This window comes from Homo sapiens, chromosome 19 (genome assembly GCF_000001405.40).
Source record: "Homo sapiens chromosome 19, GRCh38.p14 Primary Assembly".
In the NCBI taxonomy this organism is placed as follows: Eukaryota; Metazoa; Chordata; class Mammalia; order Primates; family Hominidae; genus Homo; species Homo sapiens.
In genome coordinates this window covers 57,383,925-57,410,896 of record NC_000019.10, presented here as the reverse complement: position 1 = coordinate 57,410,896, position 26,972 = coordinate 57,383,925, and the positions used below count along the sequence as shown (strand labels likewise).

The 26,972-nt window shown below is 43.9% G+C and overlaps 1 protein-coding gene across 2 annotated transcripts, besides 4 other annotated features; it reads right to left on the bottom strand.

Annotated features, from left to right (window-relative positions):
- Positions 4,223–4,452: an enhancer, noted in NCBI's record as "active region_15139". NCBI's record gives its function as "activates an Ori minimal core promoter by ATAC-STARR-seq in GM12878 lymphoblastoid cells {active_cell/tissue: GM12878}" and the evidence as "EXISTENCE:reporter gene assay evidence [ECO:0000049][PMID:35858748]".
- Positions 6,579–7,078: an enhancer, noted in NCBI's record as "H3K4me1 hESC enhancer chr19:57915187-57915686 (GRCh37/hg19 assembly coordinates)". NCBI's record gives its function as "activates a minimal SCP1, AML or CMV promoter by ChIP-STARR-seq in naive and primed H9 embryonic stem cells {active_cell/tissue: H9 hESC(naive and primed)}" and the evidence as "EXISTENCE:reporter gene assay evidence [ECO:0000049][PMID:30033119]".
- ZNF548 (zinc finger protein 548) lies at positions 7,905–21,043 on the bottom strand. 2 transcript variants are annotated; one of them, NM_001172773.2, is made up of 4 exons: positions 20,783–21,043; positions 16,674–16,709; positions 13,723–13,849; positions 7,905–12,467 (listed from the first exon to the last, which is right to left on the bottom strand). In NM_001172773.2, the coding sequence occupies exons 1-4, from the start codon at positions 20,795–20,797 to the stop codon at positions 11,008–11,010; spliced, it is 1,638 nt and encodes a 545-aa protein (NP_001166244.1). In that variant the 5' UTR covers positions 20,798–21,043; the 3' UTR covers positions 7,905–11,007. The 2 variants fall into 2 exon arrangements, with proteins under 2 accessions (NP_001166244.1, NP_690873.2); NM_152909.4 differs by lacking the exon at positions 16,674–16,709.
- Positions 20,786–21,265: an enhancer, noted in NCBI's record as "active region_15138". NCBI's record gives its function as "activates an Ori minimal core promoter by ATAC-STARR-seq in GM12878 lymphoblastoid cells {active_cell/tissue: GM12878}" and the evidence as "EXISTENCE:reporter gene assay evidence [ECO:0000049][PMID:35858748]".
- Positions 21,406–21,485: an enhancer, noted in NCBI's record as "active region_15137". NCBI's record gives its function as "activates an Ori minimal core promoter by ATAC-STARR-seq in GM12878 lymphoblastoid cells {active_cell/tissue: GM12878}" and the evidence as "EXISTENCE:reporter gene assay evidence [ECO:0000049][PMID:35858748]".

Genomic DNA, 26,972 nt, shown 5'->3' with positions numbered 1-26,972 from the left:
TTTTCCCGGAAGGCAGTCTAGAACAAGTCAGAGAAATGTTTCAGAGACCTGTCCTTTCAGATTCTGTAAAGCACAGCAAGTTCCCAAAAGACGAACATCCGAAGGAACATGGCCAACCATAAAGAACTGGTCTTCCACGCATAGCGGTCAGCTCTTTTGTGCTTGCCAAATACACACAGAACGAAGCTCTGGAGACTGTTTTATGATCTTCAATGTGCTCTGCTGGGCACATTGAAAAGACCCAGACATGGCATGATGGGGAGTTTGAGGAGTAATATCTTTCCTTTCTGAATAATCAGTTATTGTCTTTCAGCCTACCCAGCAACACTTTATTCACATGATACTTATTACTTTATATCTGAGATATTTTCCACTTATTTTAAGAGACTGAAACCTAACTGAAAAGGAAAAGCGACTTATCTACCATTATCTGCCAGAATAGTGTGGCCTTCCACCAGTCAAAGCCCTTGTGCAAAGAAAGCATCTTACTCCTGAGATAAAGGTTTGGGAATGCATGATCTCATCTCATTAGTGGAAAGTGATTTATCATTTCGCCTGAAATTGTATCAACAGTGTCTGCACAGGGAGTTGAAATTGTCTCTGAATAACTCTTGTGAAATGGCTATTACTGAAACTATTAATGACGATTATGTAGATATCCAAAGAAAGTGGCAAAAATAGTTATAGAGAAACATATTTGTGATAGGAGGAAAAAAGCTAAGGTTGTCCTGGAACCTTGGACACACTCAAGTTTGGTGTCCAAAATCTGATTCTTTTTCAAACTTGAAAACATTGTGCATTAACAGCTTGAAGGGAGAGGTAAAGACTATATATTAAAAGAGTTACCAGAAAAGTAAAGCTGAATAGGGAAACTGTGCTGTCGTATTTATTACTCTAACATATTTGATGAACACTCATTCGATGCCAGGTACAATACTAAGTGCATGGGACACATTAGGAGTAGGGTTGCTAGCTGTCTGTGGTCCTCTAAGACACGTAAGACGTATTTAATGAATTAGTCCTCAGTCCTGTATTGACCTTGTCAGGTCACTTTAAATGTCCTGTATTCCGCTTTTTACAATAAATTACAAAACCTCAGAAGTTAGAGCTATTTTTCTACCACTATAATTGTAAATTAAATCACTTAGCAGCTATGTTAGCTGAAAATCATACCCCCACAAATAAAGATATGGACATAGTCTTGTGATCTCTCCTGCAGAATTGGTGAGGGAAAAATAAAATGGAGCACTGAGATATTCAGTAAAGGAGAAGACTGTTTTTTGGCCAAAGTCTTGAAATTTGGTTTATCAAATTACAAAAAGAAGGAAGGAAGGAGAGAGAAAGAAGGAAACGAAAGGAAAAGAAAAAACCACCCAACTGAAGGTCTGGAAGAGTTAAAGCTGTTCAGTAGTGCCAGCTACATGGAAGTTAAGACGGGAGGATTACTTGAGTTCATAAGTTCAAAACCAGTTTGGGCAATATAGTGAGATCCCCGTCTCTGAAAAAACTGAAAATTAAAAACATGTTAATCATTTACCAACAATACATCCCTACCATCCTACAATTCTATTTCTAGATATTTACCAACAGAAACTAAACAAACTTTTTTTTTCTTTTTTTGAGATAGAGTCTCTCTCTGTCGCCCAGGCTGGAGTGCAATGGCACGATCTCGGCTCACGGCAACCTCTGCCTCCCAGGTTCAGGCGATTCTCCTGCCTCAGCCTCCTGAGTAGCTGGGATTACAGGCATGGCCACCACGCCTGGCTGATTTTTGTACTTTTAGTAGAGACGGGGTTTCACCATGTTGGCCAGGCTGGTCTTGAACTCCTGGCCTCAGGTGATCCACCCGCCTCAGCCTCCCAAAGTGCTGGGATTACAGGCATGAGCCACCTCGCCTGGCCCAAACATCCATCTAACACTTGGTGACAGGCCACATATCTTTGTGTATGTGTATGTATATATATATATATATATGGAGAGAGGGAGAGAGAGAGAGTCTCGCTCTGTTGCCCAGGCTGGAGTGCAGTCACACGATCTCAGCTCACTGCAACCTCTGCCTCCTGGGTTCAAGCAATTCTCCTGCCTCAGCTCCCGAGTAGCTGGGACTACAGGTGTGCACCACCACACCTGGCTAATTTTTGTATTTTTAGTAGAGACAGGGTTTCACCATGTTGGCCAGGCTGGTCTTGAACTCCTGACCTCATGATCCACCCGGCTTGGCCTCCCAAAGTGCTGGGATTACAGGCATGAGCCACCATGCCCAGCCCTTTCAACATATTTTATTAGGTGTTTCGCTACCTTTTGAAATTCCACTTTCATGTAATGAGCGGCTGTATGGTGACAATGGCCCAGGAGGCTCTGGACAGTGAGTGGACATTCTCTCCTTATGTCCCCACAAGGACCTCGTCTTGTTCAATGTTCCGACGTGTTTCCACTCATTCCTGTTCCTCACACTTCATCACCCCACCACTTGTAGACAACAATTCTAAAGGTCTGTTGTGTGTTTTTGTATTTACATGTGTTTTAGAAAGAGGAGCACTGTTACTTTTTGTGTAGTTTAATTGTACTGTACTATAGACTTCTTTCTCCCTTTGTTGGTACTCAAAATGTGTGTTTAATATGTATATATACTCCTGTGTCAAAGTCTACTTAAATGCTAGTAACTGCCCTGTTGTACTTTAGTGTGGACATTCAGTCTTCTACTTCACTCATAGATGTCTTTGGTCCTCCTCTTACACTTAATGCTACAACATATTGTCTCCATGTCCCTGCTGCCTTGAACAGTATTGTGAGAAAACTTCTCTCACATAAGAATTTATGGACTTGACTGAGAGATATACCAGAAACAGGCTTTCTGTGTCACATGATATTCTAGAAAATCATTTTTTTTACAGTACCTGTGCAGATTGCTTTATGAAACTGCTACAGTCTTTGACTCTTCCATGAAATATACATGATTGCAGCTACATCACCCCATATTTCTTTCCATAGTATAGTAATTTATAGAACTTAAAGTAACATGCAATAATATCTAATTTGCATTTCTCTGACACCGAGTTTGAATATCCATTCATATTCTTGATAACCATCTGATTTTTCTCTCTTGTTTATTGTATGCTCGTGCTTTAGTTCATTTCTAAGATCTCTGACTTTATTCCTTTAAGAAGAATCTGAAACTTTGGCTGGGCACAGTGGCTCATGCCTGTAATCCCAGTACTTTGAAAGGTGGAGGTGGAAGGATCATTTGAGTCTAGGAGTTCGAGACCAGCCTGGGCAGTATAGTGAGATCCCCGTCTCTACCAAAAAAGTTAAAAATTAGCCAAGCATGGTAGTGCGCACTTGTAGTCCCAGCTACTGGGGAGGCTGAATGGGAGGATTGCTTGAACCTGAGAGGTGGAGGCTACTGTGAGTGAAGATCACGCCACTACACTCCATCCTAGGTGAAAGAGACCCTGTCTCAATAAAAAAGCAAAAAAATCTAAAACTCGCATGCCTAAAACCGTAAAACTGGGCACATTTAGATATTTTAAATGTCTTCTCTGAGTCCCTGAACTCACTCAGTTTTGACTCATAATCTTTATGAAATAGAAAGCTTGAAATTTAGATGTAATTATATTAATTTGTTTTTTCATGTAACATTTTGTGCACTCTGGGATCAAAGAAAGACTTATCAGAGGGTAAATTCTGAGATCATTTTGTAGGTCTCACTCCAAAATTGTTTCCTTTCCATTTTCTATTTCTTACTCCCTGTTGACCTTTGTTAATTTTAATTTTTTCTGACATGAGTAGCTTAGTTGGAGGATAATATGAGATGGTGCTTATGAATGCTCCTAACTCCGGGCATGTCACATCATAGGTATTAAATATAAATAAAGTTTTTCCCTCTGTTCTTTCTGTATTATTGTATCTTCATTTCTTTTTCTTCTCTCTCCTTTTCTTTAAACTCCTAGTTTTGCCTGTTTTTTTCCCCATACTCTACCTTTAATCAGTAGGAGACAAAAATTCTAAACATCCCATTCTCAATTGCAAAATAAACTTTTAAAATCCCCCAGAGATTGCACAACCTAGTCCACCAAGTGAAACACCTGAGCACTCCTAGGGCGCTGAGGTTAGGCCTAAATACCCTACTGCACCCACTTCAGCCATCTCCTGCCTACAAGCGCCATCTGCTGGTCTAGTGGCTGGCCCACAGAGCCCGCTGCAACCACTGCTAATGAGCACAGCAAGTGCGACCCAGAAGAGTTTCGCACCACTGCCACCACCATCACGGATGCCACACCAGCAGCCCAGGGGCTCAAGAGTGCACTCACATGCTTGGTACACTGCTATCACAACCAGCATCTAAGAAAGCCAACCAGAGGCCCAAGAATCGGCCTGCCTAGAACTGCCAACACAGGTACCAACATTCAGCACCGCAAAGTACAAGGATAAACATACATAGCTCACCACCAGTACTGCTGAAGCCTGAAGACAAGCTCATCTGGCATTCTGTTCCCAGCACAACTTTACCAAAACCTCCACTAATAACTAACAGTGTGCACCCTAACACACTTGAGAAAACCACTTGAACTGTTTAAAGCCAAGGAAATCATAAAAAAAAAACTTTACTGCTGCATGCACTCAGAAGTAAAGCTAAAGTGCCCTACTCAACCAAAATCATTGATACATCTTCAAAACCCCCACAAACAACAGTAAATTAAAAAATAGAGAGATAAACTATTTTTTAAATTTGTTTAAGATGGAGTGGCCAGGCACAGTGGTTCATGCCTGTAATCCCAGCACTTTGGGAGGCCGAGGCGGGCAGATCATGAGGTCAGGAGATCGAGACCATCCTGGTTAACACGGTGAAACCCCGTCTCTACTAAAAATACAAAAACTTAGCTGGGCGTCGTGGCGGACACCTGTAGTCCCAGCTACTCGGGAGGCTGAGGCAGGAGAATGGTGTGAACCTGGGAGGCAGAGCTTGCAGTGAGCTGAGATCACACCACTGCACTCCAGCCTGGGTGACAGTGCAAGACTCTGTGTCAAAAAAAAAAAAAAAAAAAAAAAAGATGGAGTTTCACTCTTGTTGCCCAGGCTGTAGTGCAATGGCGCAATCTCGGCTCGCCACAATCTCCAACTCCTGGGCTCAAGTGATTCTCCTGCCTCAGCCTCCTGAGTAGCTGGGATTACAGGTGCCTGCCACCACGCCCAGCTAATTTTTGTATTTTTAGTAGAGACGGGGTTTCACTGTGTTAGCCAGGATGGTCTCGATCTCCTGACATCGTGATCCGCCTGCCTCGGCCTCCCAAAGTGCTGGGATTACAGGCGTGAGCCACCGCGCCTGGCCCAAGACTGAGTAATTTTTAAAGTAAAAAGGTTTAATTAACTCTGTTAGTTAAACGCAACCTATATACAACCCTCTTGTTTCACAGTGGAAGAACCCTGTCAGTTGCAGAGGACAGATTTATTAATTCACCAGGCATGACATGACACACTTCAACAGAATAAAAAAGCACTCATGTAGCTTGAAACAAGGAAGATGTTCCGACACACAGGTGATGGGGCAGCACGGGCTATGTAGGCTTTTTATCTTTAGGGAAGGCTCAAGGCCCATCACTATGTAGATGATGCAACTATGGTTTGAAATTTATAGTCCAGGGAGGCTACAGGAATTCATAAAATCATTGATTTAGTTGTTCTGACATTGACCTTGGCTACAGGAGGTACACAGCTCCTTAGGTCTTTGGAATTCCTGTAATACCCCACCCCACACAGCCATAGCTACCAGGGCATTTGTGAGTGCTCCTTTAGAGGGGACTCATCCACTCTACTGCAGTCTCTCCCATGTCCTATTAATCCAACCACTATTTATTATAGAATATGGCTTCTGGCCAGGTGCAGTGGCTCACTCCTGTAATCCTGGCACTTTGGGAGGCTGAGGTGGGCGGATCACGAGGTCAGGAGTTTGAGACTAGCCTGGCCAATATAATATGGTGAAACCCCATCTCTAATAAAAATACAAAAATTAGCCGGGTGTGGTGGCGTGCACCTATAGTCCCAGCTACTCGGAAGGCTGAGGCAGGATAATTGTTTGAACCCAGGAAGCGAGGTTGCAGTGAGCTGAGATCATCCCACTGCACTCCAGCCTGGGCAACAGAGCGAGACTACGTCTCAAGAAAAAAAAAAAAAAAAAAGAATATGGCTTCCATCTAGCCCTAAAGGTCAACAGCCAGGAACATATACCTAGATAGTGTTTTACTTCAGGACCCATAGCTTCCAGCAGGTCACAAGAAACAGCTATCCCTCATCAATGCAGGGGAAATATGGGAAATATGGGTAGGGATACCCAATGCATACTGTTGCCCAATGCCTTAAACATCAAGGCAACTGTTTTCTCCTCAAATTGTACTTTTCTGAATACAAATAATCTTTGTACTCAGGGCTTGAAATTTTGTGCAGAAGTCCTTCAGACTTTCCCAGGAGGCTTCTCATGGCAATGCAAATTGGCCCAAATCTGCATACGAGCTGATCTTTTGCTTCCTACTAGTCCCTCTGGAGCTCACAAAGTAAAGGTCCCACAAAAAACCATTCATGCTTTTATTCTAGCAGAGACCAATTCTGTTCAAAACCCACTGCATACGGTGACTAGATTTCCAAGAGTTAAGGTAGCTTAAACAATGTGACCTTTATTATCACAAAACCAACCAGGGTATGTGTGTGCATTAGGGGTGAGAAGGAGTTCACAGTGTGGGTGACTGGCAGGTTGGAAAATTCCATCCCAAGTGTCATGATGACACAAGATACTTTCAGTGCCACTTCACCAGGCAGAAACCTCCATGGCTGAAGCACTTCTGCCCAGACATCACTTGGCCTGCTGGACTCACTCAACTAACTCAGTCCGACAGGCTGTGCTTGGCTCATGTTACCAGCCGGATCCTGTGCCCACCATGGCTCTGTGCTTGGCCTACAGCTGGTCCAGGCGTGCTGCGACCGGCTTCTGCCTTGGAAGCTGGTATCTGGACAAGGGGGACATGGCAGCGCCCAAAAACTCAGAGACGCCAGCAACCACAGAGCCCCAAGGGGTGTTACAGCTTTTGCTCAGGGAATCCCAAGGTCTGAGCCCCAAGGAAGCATTACAGCTCATTTGTGTTACAGCTTGTCTGTTCCCACCATCCACACACTTCAGTGAATGGGGGTGTGTCACAGCTTGTTTGGTCCTGCCACCCTGCTCCAGCCCATGGCTCATGGGCTGGCCTGGCCCTGCTGCCGCTGCTTCCTGTCACATGGGGTGGCTGCCTGGGGCTGGTGGAAGGCAGGAGGGCTACAGTGTTACAGCTCCTTTCACACCCGCCATTTGGCAGTTTCCGAGTTCTTGTCCCATGACCAAGAAGAATGATGTTATGTGGACACCAGAGAGTGAGCAAGGCAGGGAACTTTATTGAGTGGCAGAAAAGCTCTCAACAAGAGGGGACCTGAAAGTGGGTAGCCCAATGTGTAGCTGGGCCCAGGGTTTTTATGGGCTCAGAATGGAGACTGCATACTGATTGGTCCATGGGTGGGCCTGGAAAAAGCACCATTTGATTGGCTAAAAGGCATTGAGGAAGTTCTCACTCCAGTCATGGACTCTACTTGGAACTGGCAGCTCAATTTTCAGGCTTTAAACTGTCGTTGGCTTGAAGTTTGGGTTTCACCAGGGACCCGTCCTTAGTCTGCCTAGCAATGTATCTGCCTCCTACCACTATCAATGAGATAACCAATACTTTCCCCTGGAGAAAGGAAATTTCTGCAATCTGCCTGCCAAAGCCAGTCCATGTCTTCTGTCCAAGGCTGATGTCTATGCCCTAATCAATCATAGGAGGGGGGTGAGGACTCCAAAGTGTTCAAGTGACTAGTGAATTCTTCAGATAGAGAACACAGCATGCTGCCATAACTGCATTTTAATGTGACTAAAATGCTACACACCATGGCTCTTTGCCAGTTGGTAGAAAAGAGATGACATTTTTAAATAGGCACTGGCAGGGGCATAACTCTGGGAAAGGCCCCAGTCAAGTTGAAAACTGCAACACAGTTCACAAAATCTTCCCATATATCTGGCAGTACAGACAATATCCCTAGTGTGGATGTTCAGATGCAGGAGGCTCAACTGCTGGCTCTCTCCCTAAAAAGCTAATCTCCAAAGCATTGCTCTACTGAGTTATCATGTTAACAAGGAAAGATGACATTGCCTTCACTTCTACTTTTCTCTAGGGTGAACATGCTGGCACGAAATGAGGTTATGCTAATGGCTAAAGATTTTCCAACATTCACTAGATTCATAATACTTTTCTGGGTTCTTCTGATAGCAAGAAACAACCCAATGTCACTTGGATACACAAAATCAGAACAATTTATTACCTATAGCTAAGAATGAGAGAACTTGGGTAGGGTCCCACAGAGGGTTGCATCTGAAACACAGTAACAGCAACCTGAGGCTGCAGGGGACAACTTAGGTAAGGCAAGCGGATTGCATTAGCTACGTTTTCCATGTTCCCCATGGATTGGCTAATTTGAGTAATTTGGGCTGGAATACAGCAGTCTGGAGTGTGAAAGCCCACTAGCCTTGTCCTCAACACTGAGTCTCACACACACACACCTAAAATGTGTGGTACTGACATAAAGACAGACATATGACCAATAAAATAGAGAATCCACATATAAACCATGGCATATATGGACAAATGATTTTGACAAGTGTGCCAAGACTACTCAACAGAGGAAAGATGCTCTTTTCAAAAAATGGTGCTTGGAAAACTGGATAGCCACATAAAGTGGACTTTTGCCTTAAACCATATGCAAAAATGAACCCCAAGTAGATTAAAGATCTAAATGTAGCCAGGCACAGTGCATTACAACTCCTGCCTGTAATCTCAGCAATTTGGGAGGCCGAGGCAGGGGGATCACTTAAGGCCAGAAGTTTAAGACCAGCCTGGCCAACATGGCAAAACCCCATCTCTACTAAAAATACAAAAATTAGCCAGGTGTGGTGGTGTACACTTGTAATCCAAGCTACTTGGGAGGCTGAGGTGGGGTGATGGCTCGAACCCAGGAGGCGGAGGTTGTAGTGAGCTGAGATTCCACTACTGCACTCCAGGCTGGGTGACAGAGCAAGACTCTGCCTCCAAAAGAAAAAAAAAAAAAAGACCTAAATGTAAGACCTTCAAATATAAAATTCTTAGAATAAAGCATAGGGAAAATGCTTGGCATTGGATTTGATACTAATTTTTTTTAATATATAACATCAAAAGCCCAGGTAACAGAAGTAAAAATAGATAAAATGCACTACAGTCATCCCTTGGTGTCTGTGGGGGACTGATTCCAGGACCCCTTGTGGATACCAAAATCATCTGATGCTCAAGAGGTCCCTCACATAAAAAGGCATAGTGTTTGAATATAACCTACACACATCTTCCTATATAGATTATCATTAGGTTATTTATAACTTCTAATACAATGTAAATGCTATGTAAATATTTATTATACTATATAGTTTAGGGAATAATGACAAGAAAAAATGTCTGTTCATGTTTAGTACAGATGCAACTACCCTTTTTGTTTTCCAAATATTTTTGATTAATGATCACTGCAATCCATGGATGCTCCAAATACTTTTGATCCATGGTTGCTTCGATCCATGAATACAGAACCCACAGACAGAAAGAGTCAACAGTACATCAAAACTTAAAATTTCATCAAAGGACACAATCAACAGAGCGAAAAAGCAACCTATGGACTGGGAGGTAATATGTAAAAAGCATATATTTGGTAAGGAGTTAATATCCAGAATGTATAAAGAACTACAACTCAACAACAAAAAGCAAATAGTCCCATTAAAAATGGAAAAAAAAGACTTGAATATTTTTCCAGATACACAAATGCCTAACAAGCACATGAAAAGATCCTCAACATCATCAATCATTCACAAAATAAAAATGAAAGACACTATAGATTCCACCTCACATCCAACAAGATAGCTGCTATCCAAAACAAAAGGCACTACAAAAAACCCCAAAAACAGAAATAGAAAATGAACAATGTTGGTGAGGATGTATATAGATTGCAATCCTTGTGCACTGCTGGTGGGAATGTAAAATGGCACAGGTACTATGGAAAAATTTTCCCAAAAATATTAAAAATAGAAATCCTGGCCAGGCGCGGTGGCTCACGCCCGTAATCCCAGCACTTTGAGAGGCCAAGGCAGGCAGATCACAAGGTCAGGAGATCAGGACCATCCTGGCTAACACGGTGAAACCCCGTCTCTACTAAAAATACAAAAAAATTAGCCAGGCGTGGTGGCAGGCACCTGTAGTCCCAGCTACTCGGGAGGGTGAGGCAGGAGAATGGCATGAACCTGGGAGGCGGAGCTTGCAGTGAGCCAAGATCACAGCACTGCACTCCAGCCTGGGTGACAGAGCAAGACTCTGTCTCAAAAACAAACAAAAAAAAAAAATAGAAATCCTATATGATCCAGCACCACCATTTCTGAGTATATACCCTATAAGAATTGAAAGTAGAATCTTGAATAGACACTTGTACACTCATCTTCATAGCAGCATTATTTCAATAGGCAAAAGGTGGAAGTAGCCCAAGTATCCACTAACAGATGAATGGATAAATAAATGTGGTATATAAATACCATAGAATATTATTTCACCTAAAAAGGAAGGATATTCTGACACATTATACAACATGGGTGAACCGTGAAGACCTTATCCTAAGTGAAATAAGCCAGTCTCAAAAGATAAATACTGTAGAATCCACTTATATGAGGTACAAATATATATCAAATTCATAGATATCTATTGGTACCTCATATAAGTACCATAGAGTATAGAAATATAGTTGAGACATTTCTGGGGAAGTAGGGAAGGGGAATGAGTTGTTGTTAATGGGTACAGCATTTTACTTCTTGGTAAGAGGAAAAATGTTCTGGAGATTAGTTGCATAAAAATGTGGAATTTATATAACATTACTACCCAATTACAATAGTCAATGGTAAACTTTCTCCATTGTGAAATCTCTGATGTTTAATGAGGTTGGAGTTTTAGCTAAAGAATTCCCCACATTCATGGAGCACACAAGCCTCTCTTCACTGTGGATTTTCTGGTGATGAACCAGGTGAGACTTTCTAATAAAGGCCTTCTGGCATTCGCTGCACTCATAAGGTCTTTCTCCACTGTGGATTTTCTGGTGCTCAACAAGTATATGCTTGTGGCTAAAGGCTTTCCCACACTCTCTGCACTCGTAAGGCCTTTCTCCAGTGTGATTTCTCCAATGTTTAATGAGGTTGGAGTTGTAACGAAAGAATTTCCCGCATTCGCTGCACTCATAAGGCCTTTCTCCCGTGTGGACTCTCTGGTGTCTAATGAGCCTGCAGTGGTACCTAAATGATTTCCCACATTCACTGCATTTATAAGGCCTTTCTCCAGTGTGATTTCTCCAATGTTTAACAAGGCTGGAGTTGTACCTAAACAATTCCCCACATACACTGCACTCATAAGGCCTTTCTCCAGTGTGAATTCTCTGATGTCTAATGAGTGTGGAGATATACCTAAAAAATTTCCCACAATCATTGCACTTATAAGGTCTTTCTCCGGTGTGAACTCTCTGATGTTTAATGAGTGTGGAGCTGTCCATAAAGAATTTCCCACATTCCCTGCACTCATACGGCCTTTCTCCGGTGTGAACTCTCTGATGTCTAACAAATGTGGAGCTGTACCGAAAGAATTTCCCACATGTGTTGCACTCATAAGGCCTTTCTCCAGTGTGAACTCGCTTATGTCTCATGAGTCGGTAGTTGTACATAAAGGATTTTCCACATTCTCTGCACTCATAAGTCCTTTCACTAGTGTGAACTGTCTGATGTTTCATGAAATTGGCACTGTACTTAAAGAATTTCCCACATTTGTTACATTCATAAGACCTTTCTCCTGTGTGGATTTTCTGGTGCTCAACAAATGAATAGCTGCAGGTGAAGGTTTTCCCACATTCACTACATTTGTAATCATTTTGTCCAGTCTGAAAGGCTTCTCTGTCCTCTGTGTCCCTGTATGGCTTCCACTCGCTTTGAGGGCCCTGGTGCTGGAGAAGGCATGAGGTGGCTGGTAAGTCCTTCCAGCCCTCCATGCATGTGAAGATCTCCTCTGCCATGTGAACTCTGTGGTTCTTCCCAAATGAAGGTATCCAATCATCCCCTCTGGAAAGATTTTCTCCAATTTGCTGCTTTGGGTGCTGAAAAAGCTCTGCCTCACAAATATATATGTGTTGCTCAGGATGAATTCCATTGTGCTCAACCAGGCACAGAATGTCTTTCAAGGGTGGGCCACATGTCTCACTAGGGTGGACCTTCTGGCTGGACAGACAGGGCTTTGAAGCTGTAACCTCTGACACTCCTACAGAAAAACCTTGCTGTGAAGGTGCCTCCTCATCCTCAGCTCCATGCCAAGAACCTGTCAGAACAGAAATGCTGGAGAAGTGCATGTTGACTCTGGTGGGAGGAAGCAGCTCCATCACAAATGTGTGTCAGGCACACACACAAATAAGGCCATGGGATTGGGGACATCATGGACATTAAGGCCAGTGAGAGGAGGGTCCACTATGCAGGGCTGGGCCTGGCAAGGCCCCATAATGGGAGAGCCCTGATGATGGTAAGCATACAAGGGAGGGGTATGGTACAGAGAGAGAAGGCAGGGTCTCCAACTCACTCCTCTGAAAACAGCCATCAACAGGCCATGGTTGCTGGAGACTGGCAAGCAGTGTGTAGAAGGTTCTCTCCAAACCCAGAGAGATCAGACTGTGACAGAGGAGCTTGTGTTCAGGGATACATGCAGACCTCACACCATGTTAAATACAGGCCACGTGTTGGCAGGCATTCAAAGGGAGCAGTGGAAAAGAATGGTTGAAGGGTGGTGGCCCCAGAAGTACAGACTGTGGGGCATTGGAGGTGCAGGGGCCAGGAGTCATACTAGAAATGATAATGGGGAAGAAAAGGTAGAAATCTGTGGCCAGTGGCCCTGGCAACAAACAATGGTGAACACAGGACAGGTTCCCAGGGTGATTTGACCCCAGCTGTGACATCAACCCTTTTCCCAATTCCCAGGCACCAGGGCCATGTCCCTGAGCCTCTAATGCCATTGTTGAAGTAATATCCACCCTCTCAGGTGCCTGGGGCCCTCTCTAGGGGAAAGAAAGAGAAAAAGAGTAAAGAGCACATGCCCAGAGAGATCAAGCCCATGGCATCCCACATTCTATAATCGTAAGAACTTCACAGAAGAGTCCTGCGTCCTGCATAGTCAACTCAGCAGTCCCCAAAATCAGTGACCAGGGCAGTGCCTGAAATTCCAAGCACAGGAAGGCACCAAGAAATATCAGTGAGAGAAAGGGGACAACAGAACACAGGTCTCATGTGTTTGGACAGAGTAACCTGACCAGGGACAGACAAGGCTGGTGGGGTCTCTATGCCAAATTCAACATTTCTGGCTCTTGAGCCCTTTCTTGTAAGCCTCAGAGCAGCAGGGATGGGGATGCTAGGAAAAAGGGGGTATAAAACACACGGCCCAGCCCTGCCTCCCACAGCATATATGCCAAGAAACAGGGAAAAGAAGCAGCACCCACGGTCTCACTGTGGGAAACGCAGAGCTGCCTTTGGGTAAAAAGGGGTAACACAGCCTAACCCAGGACACTGGGCAAGTGTGAGGGCCTTACCTAGTGAGGACAAAAGGGCCAAATTCTCCAGCATCACATCACGGTACAGCAATCTCTGAGCCTCATCAAGGTGCCCCCACTCCTCCTGGGAGAAATATATGGCCACGTCCTCAAAGACCACACGGCCCTGCCAAATTGGGAAAGATGAATACATAAGCAGCTTCTTTTCAAGCTGTATTTACTTAAGTTCTCTATTTTCTACTTATATTTACCACCCATTAAACACAGGGCCAAACTAACAGCCAAATGTGTTTCCATCTCCCCTACCACCCTGGGCCCATATTCTCAAACCAAGCCAATATTTCCCGTACTCTAAATCAACCCAGGGCCAGGTACTGCAAAACTAGGGACAGTCCCAATAGCCCAGGTGTCCTGGAATTATTTAAACTAGCCAAACTATCCTGACGCCCAGCCCTGCATTGCTTTCCCTTGGAAACCCCAATAGCGTCCGTGGACTAAACTAAACTTTCCCCTCACTCCAATTTTCCTCCTGACCAAATCTGGTGCCTCACCATGTGGCCCTGTGTTATGTGGTATGTACCCCCCTTGGGGAAATGCAAGGAATAAATATCTTCTTTCAGTCATTGGCCTGTCCCCAGCATCAATCACTCACATCCATAAATTAAAACCCAATAGGTAAAATGACTGCTACATTTCTCTCTCCAGGATCTCATCGCTGTCCCCTACGCCTCCATTCCTTGCTCAATCTCTTCCACACCCTCCCAATGTGGAAGAGAAACCACATCCAGGTGGCATGAGTGACTTTTCTCTCCATATTGACATTGGCCACCGTGTCCAGCACACAGAGGAAACAGATGGAAGATAAGGTAGAAAAGGAATGTGGGCCTCCCGTGGGGGGATCCATCCTCTCCTGCCAGCCAGTTGCCATGGAGTCACCCAGATCTTGCCTCCCAAGACAACCAAACTCAGACTCATCCTCCTCCCTTGAGCTACCAGGGCCAGGGCCTGAGGCCCTCCATTCACACTCCTCCTGCCTGCACATCACTCTTTGGACAGCACTCCAATCCCATCTCTCACACCTCCACTCCAGTCAATTCCACAGACAACTCCCAGCCCACACCACAGGCATTTCCTTCACCTCCTAACAGGCCACTCTGCACACGGAAACCAGGTGGTGCACGGCAAATACGCTCAGCATCCAATTCATTCCCAGTCCTGCCCCAGAACACCAAAGTCCCCTAGCACCGGGGGCAGCCCTAAGCCCTGGGTTGAAGGTTCCCTACACGGCCCTGTTTCTCACTTCACTGTCAGCTGCCCAAACCATGTGAGGACTTCCCATACTCTCAGCTGTGTCCTGCCTCATGGTACACTCTGTCCCATAAACAGTCAGGAAAATTGCTCTCCACCAAAACCTCATTCCAAGCCCAGCTGCACTGACCTCCATATTTCCACTCCTGATATGGTTTGGCTCTGTGTCCCCACCCAAATCTCATGTCAAATTGTAATCCCCACGTGTCAGGGGAGGGACCTGGTGGGATGTGACTGGATCATGAGGGCATATTTTCCCCTTGCCTTTCTCATAATAGTAAGTTCTCACGAGATCTGGTTGTTTAAAAGTGTTTGGCTCTTCCCCCTTCATTCTCTCCCTCTCTCCTGCTCCATCATGGGAAGATGTGCCTCGCTTCCCCTTCACCTTCCGCCAGGATTGTGTTTCCTGAGGCCTCCCAGTTATGCTTCCTGTTAAGCCTGAAGAACTGTGAGTTGGTTAAACCTCTTTTCTTCATAAATTACCCAGTCTCAGGTAGTTCTTTACAGCAGTATGGAAACGGATTAATACAACTCCCATCCTCACCTCCTCCCAACTGATAGTTAGCAACTCTCCGACCTCACCCTATTATCCCCCCTCAGCAACCCCATCATGTCCACTCTCCTTCAGAAGTCTTTCTCACTCCTATACCCCACCATCTCACATACACTCATCCCCACAAACACTCCATTCCCTCATTTGTCTAGTGACTCCTCCACCACTGCACAGCTACCCAGTAAGAGACCCAGTTCTCATGCCCCATTCCAATTCTCTGTCTTCGAACAGCACTGCCACCATAACCTAGAGATGCTGTCACCTAAACTGAATCCATGGCTTCATCCTGGTCCATACGACAGCCACCATAGTGTGGACATCTCCAACCTGAACTCCTCCATCAGGAGTCTCTGAGACATCTGTGGCTTGAACAAACACTGACTCCTCACACTCACTCTGAAAATTCCTAATACTGCTGACTTCTCCCATCTTAGCTGATGGAGCATCTATGCTTCCAAACAAAAACCATGGGGCCACTCCTGATTCCCCTTCTATCCCACCTCCCCAGCTGCCTCACTCTCTGTATCATAAAATGTGGGCAGCTCTAGTTAAAACTGAAGCTATGACCACTCTTGACAAGCCACCACCAACATCCACCTAGACTGCTGCAGGAACATCCTCTCAGATCTCCCTTCCATTACCCTCACCTCCACAGTCTGTCCTCCACTCAGAAGCCAAAGAAAGTCTCTTAAACTGGGGTCCTATCACTACCTATTTTGCTTCAAATCTTCCCCGTCTCCCACTTCCCTTAGATTACAGACCCAGGACCTAGGCTGTCATTCCAGGCCTGATGTTTGTGTGCCTCTAGCCACCTCCCATTCTGCTCCGTATTCCTACCAGATGTAACAGACATTTGCAGTTCCCTAAAAACCTAGCTCAGTCTCTCCTCCAAACATTGAAACATTCTGAATCCTGTGCCCAAGAGGCCCAAACATATCTTATCAGATCAATTCTCAAAAACGGGGACCAGTCTATGTAACCCAGCAGCCAACTTGTAATACTGAAACTAACTGGTGAAACCACTCACCCTTCAGACATAAGAGAAAGACAGGAAAAGAGGTTTTGTCACCTGCCAAAACCATCTGGGAGATAACCAGGGTGGGTGAATAGTAGGAAACACTCTACTCACCTGTGTAGGGTCCATTTCTGCCATCGCCAGGGGACCCTGAGGGAAGAGAAAGGCCGTGAGAAATTGACAGCCATGGAAGGATCCTTCAGGCTGAGATGGACCACCACCTCGTCTGCCCTGCCTGGGAGCAAACTGATCTCAATTCATTGAATAAAGTTCCTCAGGCCTCAGTGCTGCAGCTCTGTGACCATGGAAAAGAACCAAACCCACCTGAGCTTCAGTGTCTCCATCTGTAAATAGATTGCAAGAATAGCTGCCCCCTCACAGGGCTCATATTAGTATCAAACATCAGTAGCATGTACTATATATATCAGCGGCTATGGTCCAAGATTAATGGTTTTGTACATGAGTTCAATGCAAATGAAAGAGTGGGGTTTTGAAATTTTCATGTATGTTTTTAGCTTAAGATTTTAGAGGATGCGATATTAACTTTTTCCAAGGAAAGCAAACGAGATAAATTAACATCAAACCAATTATGAACCACTTTCTCCCCTCCCCTCCCCTGCCCTCCCCCCTCCCCTCCTCTGCCCTCCCCTCCCCTCCCCTCTCCTCTCCTCTATTGTGAGACAGAGTTTTGCTCTTCTTGCCCAGGCTGGAGTGCAATGGCGTGGTCTTGGCTCACTGCAACCTCCGCCTCCTGTTTTCAAGCAATTCGCCTGCCTCAGCCTCCTGAGAAGCTGGGATTACAGGCATGCGCCACCACACCCGGCTAATTTTGTATTTTTAGTAGAGACAGGGTTTCTCCATGTTGGTCAGGCTGGTCTCGAACTCCCGACCACAGGTGATCCACCCACCTCGGCCTCCCAAAGTGCTGGGATTACAGGTGTGAGCCACCACACCCGGCTCACTTTTAGAAATTTAACATAATGACTTCACTATTAACTGCCTATCTGTTTGCACACACTTAGAAAGATACTGTCTAATTGGGGTTTAAATCAATAAGTGTTTCATACATTATTAAGTTAATGAGTTATAGAGAAGGGAAGAGTAGGCAGGTCAGGTACTGGTCCTTTCTGCAACCAGGTCTACCTGCTACATAATCTTCTAAAGTGAGCTTGCCAGGAGACCTTGGCTGGAGCAGTAGATCATCCCCTGTAGCCCTGACATGTAGAGAAGGGGAAAAAGCAGTGCTCTGATCTGGAACCCAGCTACTCCACCAGCCTCAATAACATTTCTCTTGTTCAACAGAGAGTGGCCCTGAGGGTCAACCAAGCCTGCAGGTGCAGGATCGAAACCACCTCACACTTCAGCCTCCATCCCAGGCCATATGCTTACCCAGTCCAGGCCTCCCTTTTTACAGATGCAATCCAGAATCCCTGTTATGCCAGGTCTGCACCGTTCTGGACAGAGTATGATGTCTGTGGAGCCACCAATGGTCTGGCCCCCAAGTCTCAGCCCCCTGTTCTCTCAACACAGAGCCCACCTGAAATGACAACCTCAAGATTTCCCTCAAATTAAGTCCATCTGACTTCAAATTATACTACAAGTTGTTAGTAACCAAAACAGCATGGTAATGGATAGAAATAGACACATAAGGTGTACAGCTCAGTGGTAAAGCATTTGACTGCAGAAATAGACACATAGATCAATGGAACAGAACAAAGTTCCTAGAAATAAAGCCACATATCTATAGCCAACTGATCTTTGAGAAAGGCAACAAATATGCACACTACGGAAAGGACACACTTTTCAATAAAATGTGCTGGGAAAACTGGATTGCCATATGAAAAAGAATGAATCTGGACCAATTTCTCTTGCCATATACAAAAATCAACTCAAGATGAATTAAAGATTTAAATGTAAGACCTGAACGAAGAATACTAAAGGAAAACTCAGGGAAACCCCTTCTGGACATTGGTCTAGGCAAAAAAATTCATGAATAAGACTTCAAAAGCATAAACAACATAAACAAAAGTAGACAGGACCTAATTAAACTAAACAGCTTCTGTATAGCAAAAGGACTAATCAACCAAGTAAATGTACAACCTGAAAAATGGGATGAAATATTTGCAAACTATGCATCTGACAGGGTACTAATATCCAGAATTTACAAAGAACTCAACAACAAACAAACAAAACATAACAAAAAAACAACAACAAAAAATCTCATTAACAGTAAGCACAGGGCTGGGCGCGGTGGCTCACACCTGTAATCCCAGCACTTTGGGAGGCCGAGGCAGGTGGATCACCTGAGGTCAGGAGTTCAAGACCAGCCTGGCCAACATGGTGAAACCCCGTCTCTACTAAAAATACAAAAAATTAGCTGGGCGTGGTGGTGGGCACCTGTAATCCCAGCTACTTGGGAGGCTGAGGCAGCAGAATTGCTTGAACTAACCTGGGAGGTGGAGGTTGCAGTGAGCCGAGATCGCGCCACTGCACTCCAGCCTGGGCGACGGAGCGAGACTCCATTTCAAAAAAAAAAAAAAAAAAAAAACAGTAAGCACAGGGCAGACATTTTTCAAAAAGAAGACACATAAATCGCAAGCAGGCATATAAAAAAATGCTCAACATCATTAATCATCAGACAAATTCAAATTAAAACCACAGTATCTCCTTACACCAGTCAGAATGGCTATCATTTAAATGTCAAAAAACAACTGATGTTGCCCAGGATATGGAGAAGAGAAAAAGGTTACACACTGTTGGTGAGAATGTAAATAAGTACAACCTCAATGGAAAACAGTATGAAGATTTTTCAAATAACTGAAAATAGAACTGCCATTAAATCCACCAATTCCACTACTGGGCATCTACCCAAAGGAAAATAAATCATTACATTAAAAAAAACATGTATTTTTATCACAGCACTATTCACAATAGCAAAGATAGGGAATTAACCAATTATCCATCAATGTATGACTGGGTAAAGAAAATGTGGCATATATATACACAAGGTAATACCACTAGGCCACAAAAAAAAAAAAAAGCATGAAACTATGTCTTTTACAGCAATGTGGATGGAACTGGAGGCCATTATTAAATGAAACAACTCAGAAACAGAAAGTCAAATACCAAATGTTCTCACTTACAAGTGGAAGCTGAATAATGTGTACACATGGACAAAGAGTGTGGAATGACAAACATTGGAGACTCCAAACAGGTAGAAGGATGAGACGAAGATGAGTGATGAAAAATTACTTAATGGATACAATGTACATTATTCAGGCGATGGATACATTAAAAGCCCAGACTTGACCACTATGCAAATATATCCATATAACAAAACTGCACTTGACTCCTTAAATTTATGCAAACAAACAAACAAAAAAAACCCGAGACCGACCTACTCAATCTGATCCTCAGACCATTCTCTGGCCCAGTCCAAGCCCTCCATCCGTCTGGTATCGCCAACCCAATCCCCTTCCTCAGACTCCACACCTTTATGTCCACCTGTCTGTGTGACATATCCATCTTGAGACATTTGAGAATCACCATGTCCAAAATCCAACCTGTGATCTTCTCCCGGAAATCTGCTCTTTATGCTGACTTCCCCAACTCCATTCTTCCAAACGTTCAAACAGAAAACAAAAAACAAAACAAACACTTGAAACGGTTCTTCACTGCCTTTGTTCAGACATAACTGAAGCACCAGGAAAACCTACGGGCCCTATCTTTCAGGCCTATGAAGAATCTCATCACATCTCCCTCTACTGTCACTGGTCCAGCCCCAACCATAATTCTCCTGGGTCTACTGCAGTGGCCTCAGGGCCTTTTCGCGTCTCCCTGTGTCCATTCCTAACCTGGTTTTCCTAACTTGAAACTTCGAACTCTGGACCTGCCCCCTCCAACTGTCCCTCCCTTGACAACCTTCCATGGTTACTGGCTGCTCAGGTTGCCATTCCAAGCGAGAATTCACAAAACCCTCTCTTTCCCGCAGAAACAACACACACCCCTGACGCCCCAACACAGCCCACTCGGCAGCGCCTCCATGCTCTGAACCTGAGGTCCCTAACGGGAGCTCTGAGGCTGCATCAAATCGGCTGATACGGGGACCCCACACAGGAACGCCCCTCTCTTCGGGACAAGGGGCCTGACCTGCAGGGCCCCTTCAGGGGGCTTCAGCACTGGGAGGACCGGTCGGGCGGGGGAGCCTGGGACGGGACACCCACCTCAGTCAGGTTCATCAGCAAGGCCTCCGCCAGCCCAGCCAGGGAAGAGCGGGGCGGGAGCGACAAAGGCAAGACAAGGACGCCACTGTCCCCAGCGCTTGTCAGTTGACTCACTCCCGCCTCTCCGTGGTGGGAACCGAGCCGCTTCTCGCGCTTTTCCGTTCCGTCACTTCGGTGACGTCAGACAGAGCCATAGGCCGAAGTTGGTGAAACACCACACAGAACCAAAACGACCACCACCAGGAGGACGGCGGAAGTCCCGCCCTCCGACGGTGCGCACGCACGCAAACGTCCCCTTCTAAGCCTTTATTGGGTAAGTCGTGCCGCCGAGAGCTGCAGTGTCTTCTGGGTTATGAAGTTTCGACACCGCTTCCGGACTTGTCTTAGAGCGTTGATCAGTCCTTATATGGCAGATAAAGGCCCAGTGGCACTGTCAGGGGAGCTGGGAAACGGAGTCCCCGACTCCAAAGACAGGAGGGGGCTTGGCTTGCTCTTAAAGGCAACATACGGTATTTTTTTGGATTGTAGTATAGGATATTTACAGAAATGTTAGCAACTTATTACTTAAGACTCTATTAAGCACAGCTAATTCCCAATAACTACAGGTCCAAAGAGACACCCCATACCATAAAGGCAGTCTGCCTCTACTCATGCCTGCCAGCCATATTATTGCTTTTCAAATACACATACAGTTACGCTTTGGCGTCTGTTTAGTAAGCTTCAATATGTTTGGTCCAGAAGAAGAAAGAAAGACTACGCAGTTAGGGCTATGGACTGGAATTTGTAGGAAGGATGACAGGAGACGCTGAAGTAGGTTGAAAGGGTGAAGCTATGCCTCTGGATCAAAGAGAATACATCTTACCTGACTGTAGAGTCAGCGATTGTGTTCCTACGAAGGGTGCAACGCTTTTATTCTAATAATACTTACTACTTCATATCTGAGATATTTTCCATTTATTTTAAGAATCACAATCCTATCTGAAAATGAGAGTGACGACCAAAATGAGTGATTGAGGCATAAGTCACAAATCATGGAGGATTACTGGACCAGCCTAAGGGCACATCCAGAAAAATGTAAGTCACAGAAGCATCTGTGGCTGGTTTTTCCAAAGAGGTTCTTAGGAGGTTTAGTATTTATTATACATTTTCCTTAAAAAGGAAGAGGGGTTGGCAGTGAGACAAATGATTACAGACATGTGAAACTTTAGTTAGTGCCCAGTAAATCTACATTTTACATAAGATAGAGTAAACACGTGAGGGGAAAAGGGAATAAAGAAGATGTCTCAGAGAAGGATGAAGGAATGAATAATCTCATCTTCTCTCTGTTCTGTACCTTGGAAGATAAGCTAGTAGTCTTCTGAAAAGGTTGATTTCTATTTAGCCCTTAGGGAAGAAAACCTAATGATTGTAGTGTGGTAGGGGATATAATGAGGTGTGTCTGATTTCCCGTTCCTCTATAGTGGTGAATTCAGCTTCCAAAGTTATTCTAGGGTTCTCATGGTCAAGAGGGCATCCATTCAGTCAGTTAGGGGGTGCTTAGAATTTTATTTTTATTTCTCAAGAGCAGCTGATACATGCCATTTCTGGACAACATTGTCTACCGTTTTCATAGTTGAAGCATATGCACATCTTATCCTCAAAAAAGGTGTGGAATTCCATGATGTTATCTTCTTCCTCAGAAGTGATTTAAAATTTCACCTGTGTTTACAACTGTATTTGCACAGGGAGTCGAAATGTGAAAAACACTTGTGAAATAAAAAAATTACCGAAATCTATTAGTAATTATGTAGGTTATTCCAAAAGAAAAAAAACCAGAAGCCCTAGAGAAATCGATCTGTAATGTGAGAAAAAGATAAGATCTCAATGTTTGAGTGAGAGACAGCAAATTCTGAGAAGTCAGAGAATGAAGTTGAACCTGTGGCTCTGCTGGACACTTGGACACACTATGCTTTTGTTTCCAAAATGTAATTTTTTTACACACTTGAAAACATTGCTCATTAACTGCTTAGAGGGGTAAGTACAGATGATAAACTGAAAGACTTGCCACAGATAAAAATGAATAGAGAAGCTGTGTGATAATGTGTATTTACTTCTCTAGTAAATGTTCAATGAGCACATATGTATTGGGTTTCAGATCAATGATAGGTGCATGGGACACACTGGGAATAGGTTTCCCAGCTGCTATGTGTATACAGGACTGTTCTATGTTTTCTTAGATTCTGTATTTGTCTGTTTGATATTCATTAATCACAGGGTCAAACTAATAGAACCAAAGTTGTTTACTTTTTTTCTTGCAAGCCACTTACTCAAGTGCATGAAACTCATATAAAACCCCCCAACCACAAACACTAAAATGTGTTTTTCCTTCCTGCCCATCGACGGTATCTCTACCTCATCATTCTCTGCCACTTTAGTTATAAAGACATACTTCCAGTTACTCTGTTTTCTCTTTCTGCTTTCCAGTCTCTGTATGTAATAAGGTTTCTTGTGGCCTGTGTGGTGTTCAGTGCCTCTTATTTCCAGGGAACTGTAACATTAATCTTTTCTTTTGATGGCAGTGTCCCCTCTGTGTCATTGCTAATTATTAATTAAGACCTGGGCACAGTTTAAGAATATGACCTATATATAACGATTTTTCCTGAATCCTGTATTGACTTATCAGAATGGCCTACATATCCTACATATCAGCTGGTTGTAATATATTACAAAGAATCACCAGTGGGAGACACATTTTTCTCAGACTGTAACTGGCCGTTAAATTACTCATTGGCAACATGAGTTGAAAATCATATCCTCACAAACAAATATCTAGATAATACTTATGATGTCTTAGTCCAGTTAGCGTTGCTATAAATGAATACCTGAAGCTGGTAATTTATAAAGAAAAAAATGTTTATTTGGCTCAAAATGTTGATGTGTGGAAAGTTTAAAATTGGGCATCTGCATCTGGTGAGGGTCTTCGGCGGGTTCTATTCATGGTGGAAAACGAAAGAGAGCTATAATGCGAAGGAATCATATTGCAAGAGAGGAGGACAGTGGGTGGGGAGTGTATCAGGCTCTTTTCAACAACCAGCTTTCTTGGGAACTAATAGAGTGAGAATTTACACATCTTCAAGTGGGGGTATTCAGGTAGGATCTACCCTCATGACCAGAACACCTCCTATTAGGCCCCACCTCAAACATTGGAAATTAAATTTCAACATGAGCTTTGGAAGAGACAAACATCCAAACCATAGCATATGATTTCTTACAAATTCTGGCTGTTGGGAAACCAAAAATGGGGAATGAGAATTAAGTTGCTGGCTTATGTTCAAGTAAGGAAAAAATTTATCTCTGCCCCAAATCCATAATCATAAACAAGAAACCACCATTAATTAGAGATAACTTGGGATGTGTACCTATGCTTTAAAAGTCAGCTAGTCAGCAAAAGCTTCACCCCAGTAATTAACCAGAAACTTAGCAAATCATTGTTAGGCCAAGATTCTAAAATTTTTCCAATGGGGGTAAGGCCCAGTACTAAAGATGGTCAATCAGTGGCAGCCCCAGGCTGCTGGCAACAACTAATCCACAAGTGCCTCCTGTCAGTAATCCTGTTTATGAAAGCCAGTTGGTAAATGGTTGCATTTACACTAACATACCTGAAAGTCCATCAGTCTTTCAACTCTGCTGCTTCTGAAAGTCCTCAGTCCCTGAAGGCCAGCCTTCCTAAAAGCTCATATAATAGCAGTTTTGGCTTTGTTTGAGGAGACTGCCTGACCACTACAGCTCTGCCCTGCAGACAAATAGGAATATCACTTTTTTTCCCTTGAGATATCAAAATCTATTTATTCTTTTTTTTTTTTTTGAGACGGAGTCTCACTCTGTCGCTGGGCTGGAGTGCAGTGGTGTGATCTCGGCTCACTGCAACCTCCGCCTCTCCGGTTCAAGTGATTCTCCTGCCTCAGACTCTCAAGTAGCTGGAACTACATATGCACGCCACCACGCCCAGTTAATTTTTTTGTATTTTTAGTAGAGACGGGATTTCACCATGTTGGCCAGGATGGTCTCGATCTCTTGACCTCATGATCCGCCTGCCTCGGCCTCCCAAAGTGCTGGGATTACAGGCATGAGCCACCACGCCTGGCCCCATTTATTCTTAATTGAATATAAATTATTACTTATATTTTAATTATATGAATATAATTTAAAAGTTTGCAAGCTTTCAATGGTTCCATCTGTTTGTAATTAGTTATGAGTTTGGATATGAAATGGTAGACTAACTGACCCAGACATACATTGTAAAATCCAACGTTTTCTCCAGTGTTTTCTTTTTTCTTTCTTTTCTTTTTTTTTTTTAAGATACAGTTTCACTCTGTCACCCAGCTGGAGTGCAGTGGCGCAATCTCGGCTCACTGCAACCTCTGGCTCCCAGGTTCAAGTGATTCTCATGCCTCAGCCTCCCAAGTAGCTGGGATTACAGGCGCGTGGCACCATGCCTGGCTAATTTTTTGTATTTCTATTAGAGATGGGGTTTCGCCATGTTGGCCATACTGGTCTCGAACTCCTGACCTCAAGTGATCTGTCCGCCTAGGCCTCCCAAAGTGCTGCGATTACAGGCATGAGCCACTGTACCCACAATGTTTTTCAACTCTTGTAGAAGTTGCTATTGTCTATATTTTGAGTATATTGAATGCAAAAAATGTCAAAATGCAAGTTTATAATTTATGATGAACTGAGGAGTATTTAAAATTCCCTTTGAAGGTCTTCGACTCTATGTAATTGCCCATTGACTAATGAAAATGGTGGACAGTCAAATATATATTAACTTTGGAAGGTGCATGATTTTCTCAACTAGTTCCAAAGAAAGAGACAAAATAACTTTTTTGTTAAAATCAGATGGAGATGGTAGAATAATTATAATAGAGTTTGTAATGTTTTCTACACTGTTTATCATCATGAGTCTTTAGGCTCAGAATGCTACTGTTGAGTGTGTTTCTCATTAATGAATGTCCAATAGATAAAGGAATGAAATAAGTTGAATATGACAAATGACGAAGGTTTGTCACAACATAAATGGCATCAAGACTGTAACTGCAGGAATTCTGTAAGCAAATTATATAAAACAAGGAATTGTTAAGTAGAAGCAAATTATCAGGGAAAGAGTTATGTCATTAGAACTGTGATCCCCAAGCTTTTTAGTACCAGGGACCGGTTTTGTGGAAGACAATTTTTCCATGGATAAGGGAGAGGGGTTTGGGGGCAGATGGTTTCAGAGGCATTAGATTCTCATAAGGAGCATACAACCTAGATCCCTCTCTTGTGCAGTTCACAGTAGGGTTTGCACCCCTATGAGAATCTAATGCTGCTGCCGATCTGACAGGAGGCGGAGATCAGGCAGCAATGCTCACTCATCTGCCACTCACCCTCTGCTATATGGCCCCATTCCTAACAGGCCATAGTACTCATCTGTGGCCCCAGGGGTTGGGGACCCCTGATTTAGAATGTATTTCAGATAAACAACAAATAATTTTATGATGAGTATGTCACATACAATATTTATCTTTTATCTCACTGCACATATACATAGGGAATTAGAAATAATTCAAATTTAACCAGGTCAAGTATCAGTTACAAAATTTGACAATTCTTTTCATCGTAATTTTTTTCTGAACCTATGCATTATATTGAGCATCCTCATTTTTGAACCTAGTAACTCATTCACAGAATTTCTGCTACCCTTCTTCTTTTTTCTTTTTTTCTTTTTTTTTTTTTGAGACAGAATCTTGCTCTGTCACCCAGGCTGGAGTGCATTGGCGCGATCTCAGCTCACTGCAACCTCTGCCTCCCGGCTTCAAGCGATTCTTCTGCCTCAGCCTCCTGAATAGCTGAGATTATAGGCGCCCGCCACCATGCCCGGCTAATTTTTTTTTTTGCCCTGTCGCCCAGGCTGGAGTGCAATGGCATGATCTCAGCCCACTGCAACCCCCTCTTCCCGGGTTAAAGCAATTCTCCTGCCTCAGCCTCCCGAGTAGCTGTGATTACAGGCACGCACCACCACGCACAGCTAATTTTTTGTATCTTTAGTAGAGATAGGGTTTCACCATGTTGGCCAGGCTGGTCTCGAACTCCTGACCTTATGATCTGCCTGCCTCGGCCTCCCAAAGTGCTGGGATTACAGGCTTGAGCCACTGTGTCTGGCCACTTCTTCTTA

Coding starts and splice junctions, on each gene's coding strand:
- ZNF548 (NM_001172773.2), bottom strand. Junction 13,850..16,673: donor CAGAAATGGACCCTACACAG/GTGAGTAGAGTG, acceptor CCAATTTGGCAG/GGCCGTGTGGTCTTTGAGGA. Junction 12,468..13,722: donor GGCCCTTTTGTCCTCACTAG/GTAAGGCCCTCA, acceptor CTGTTCTGACAG/GTTCTTGGCATGGAGCTGAG.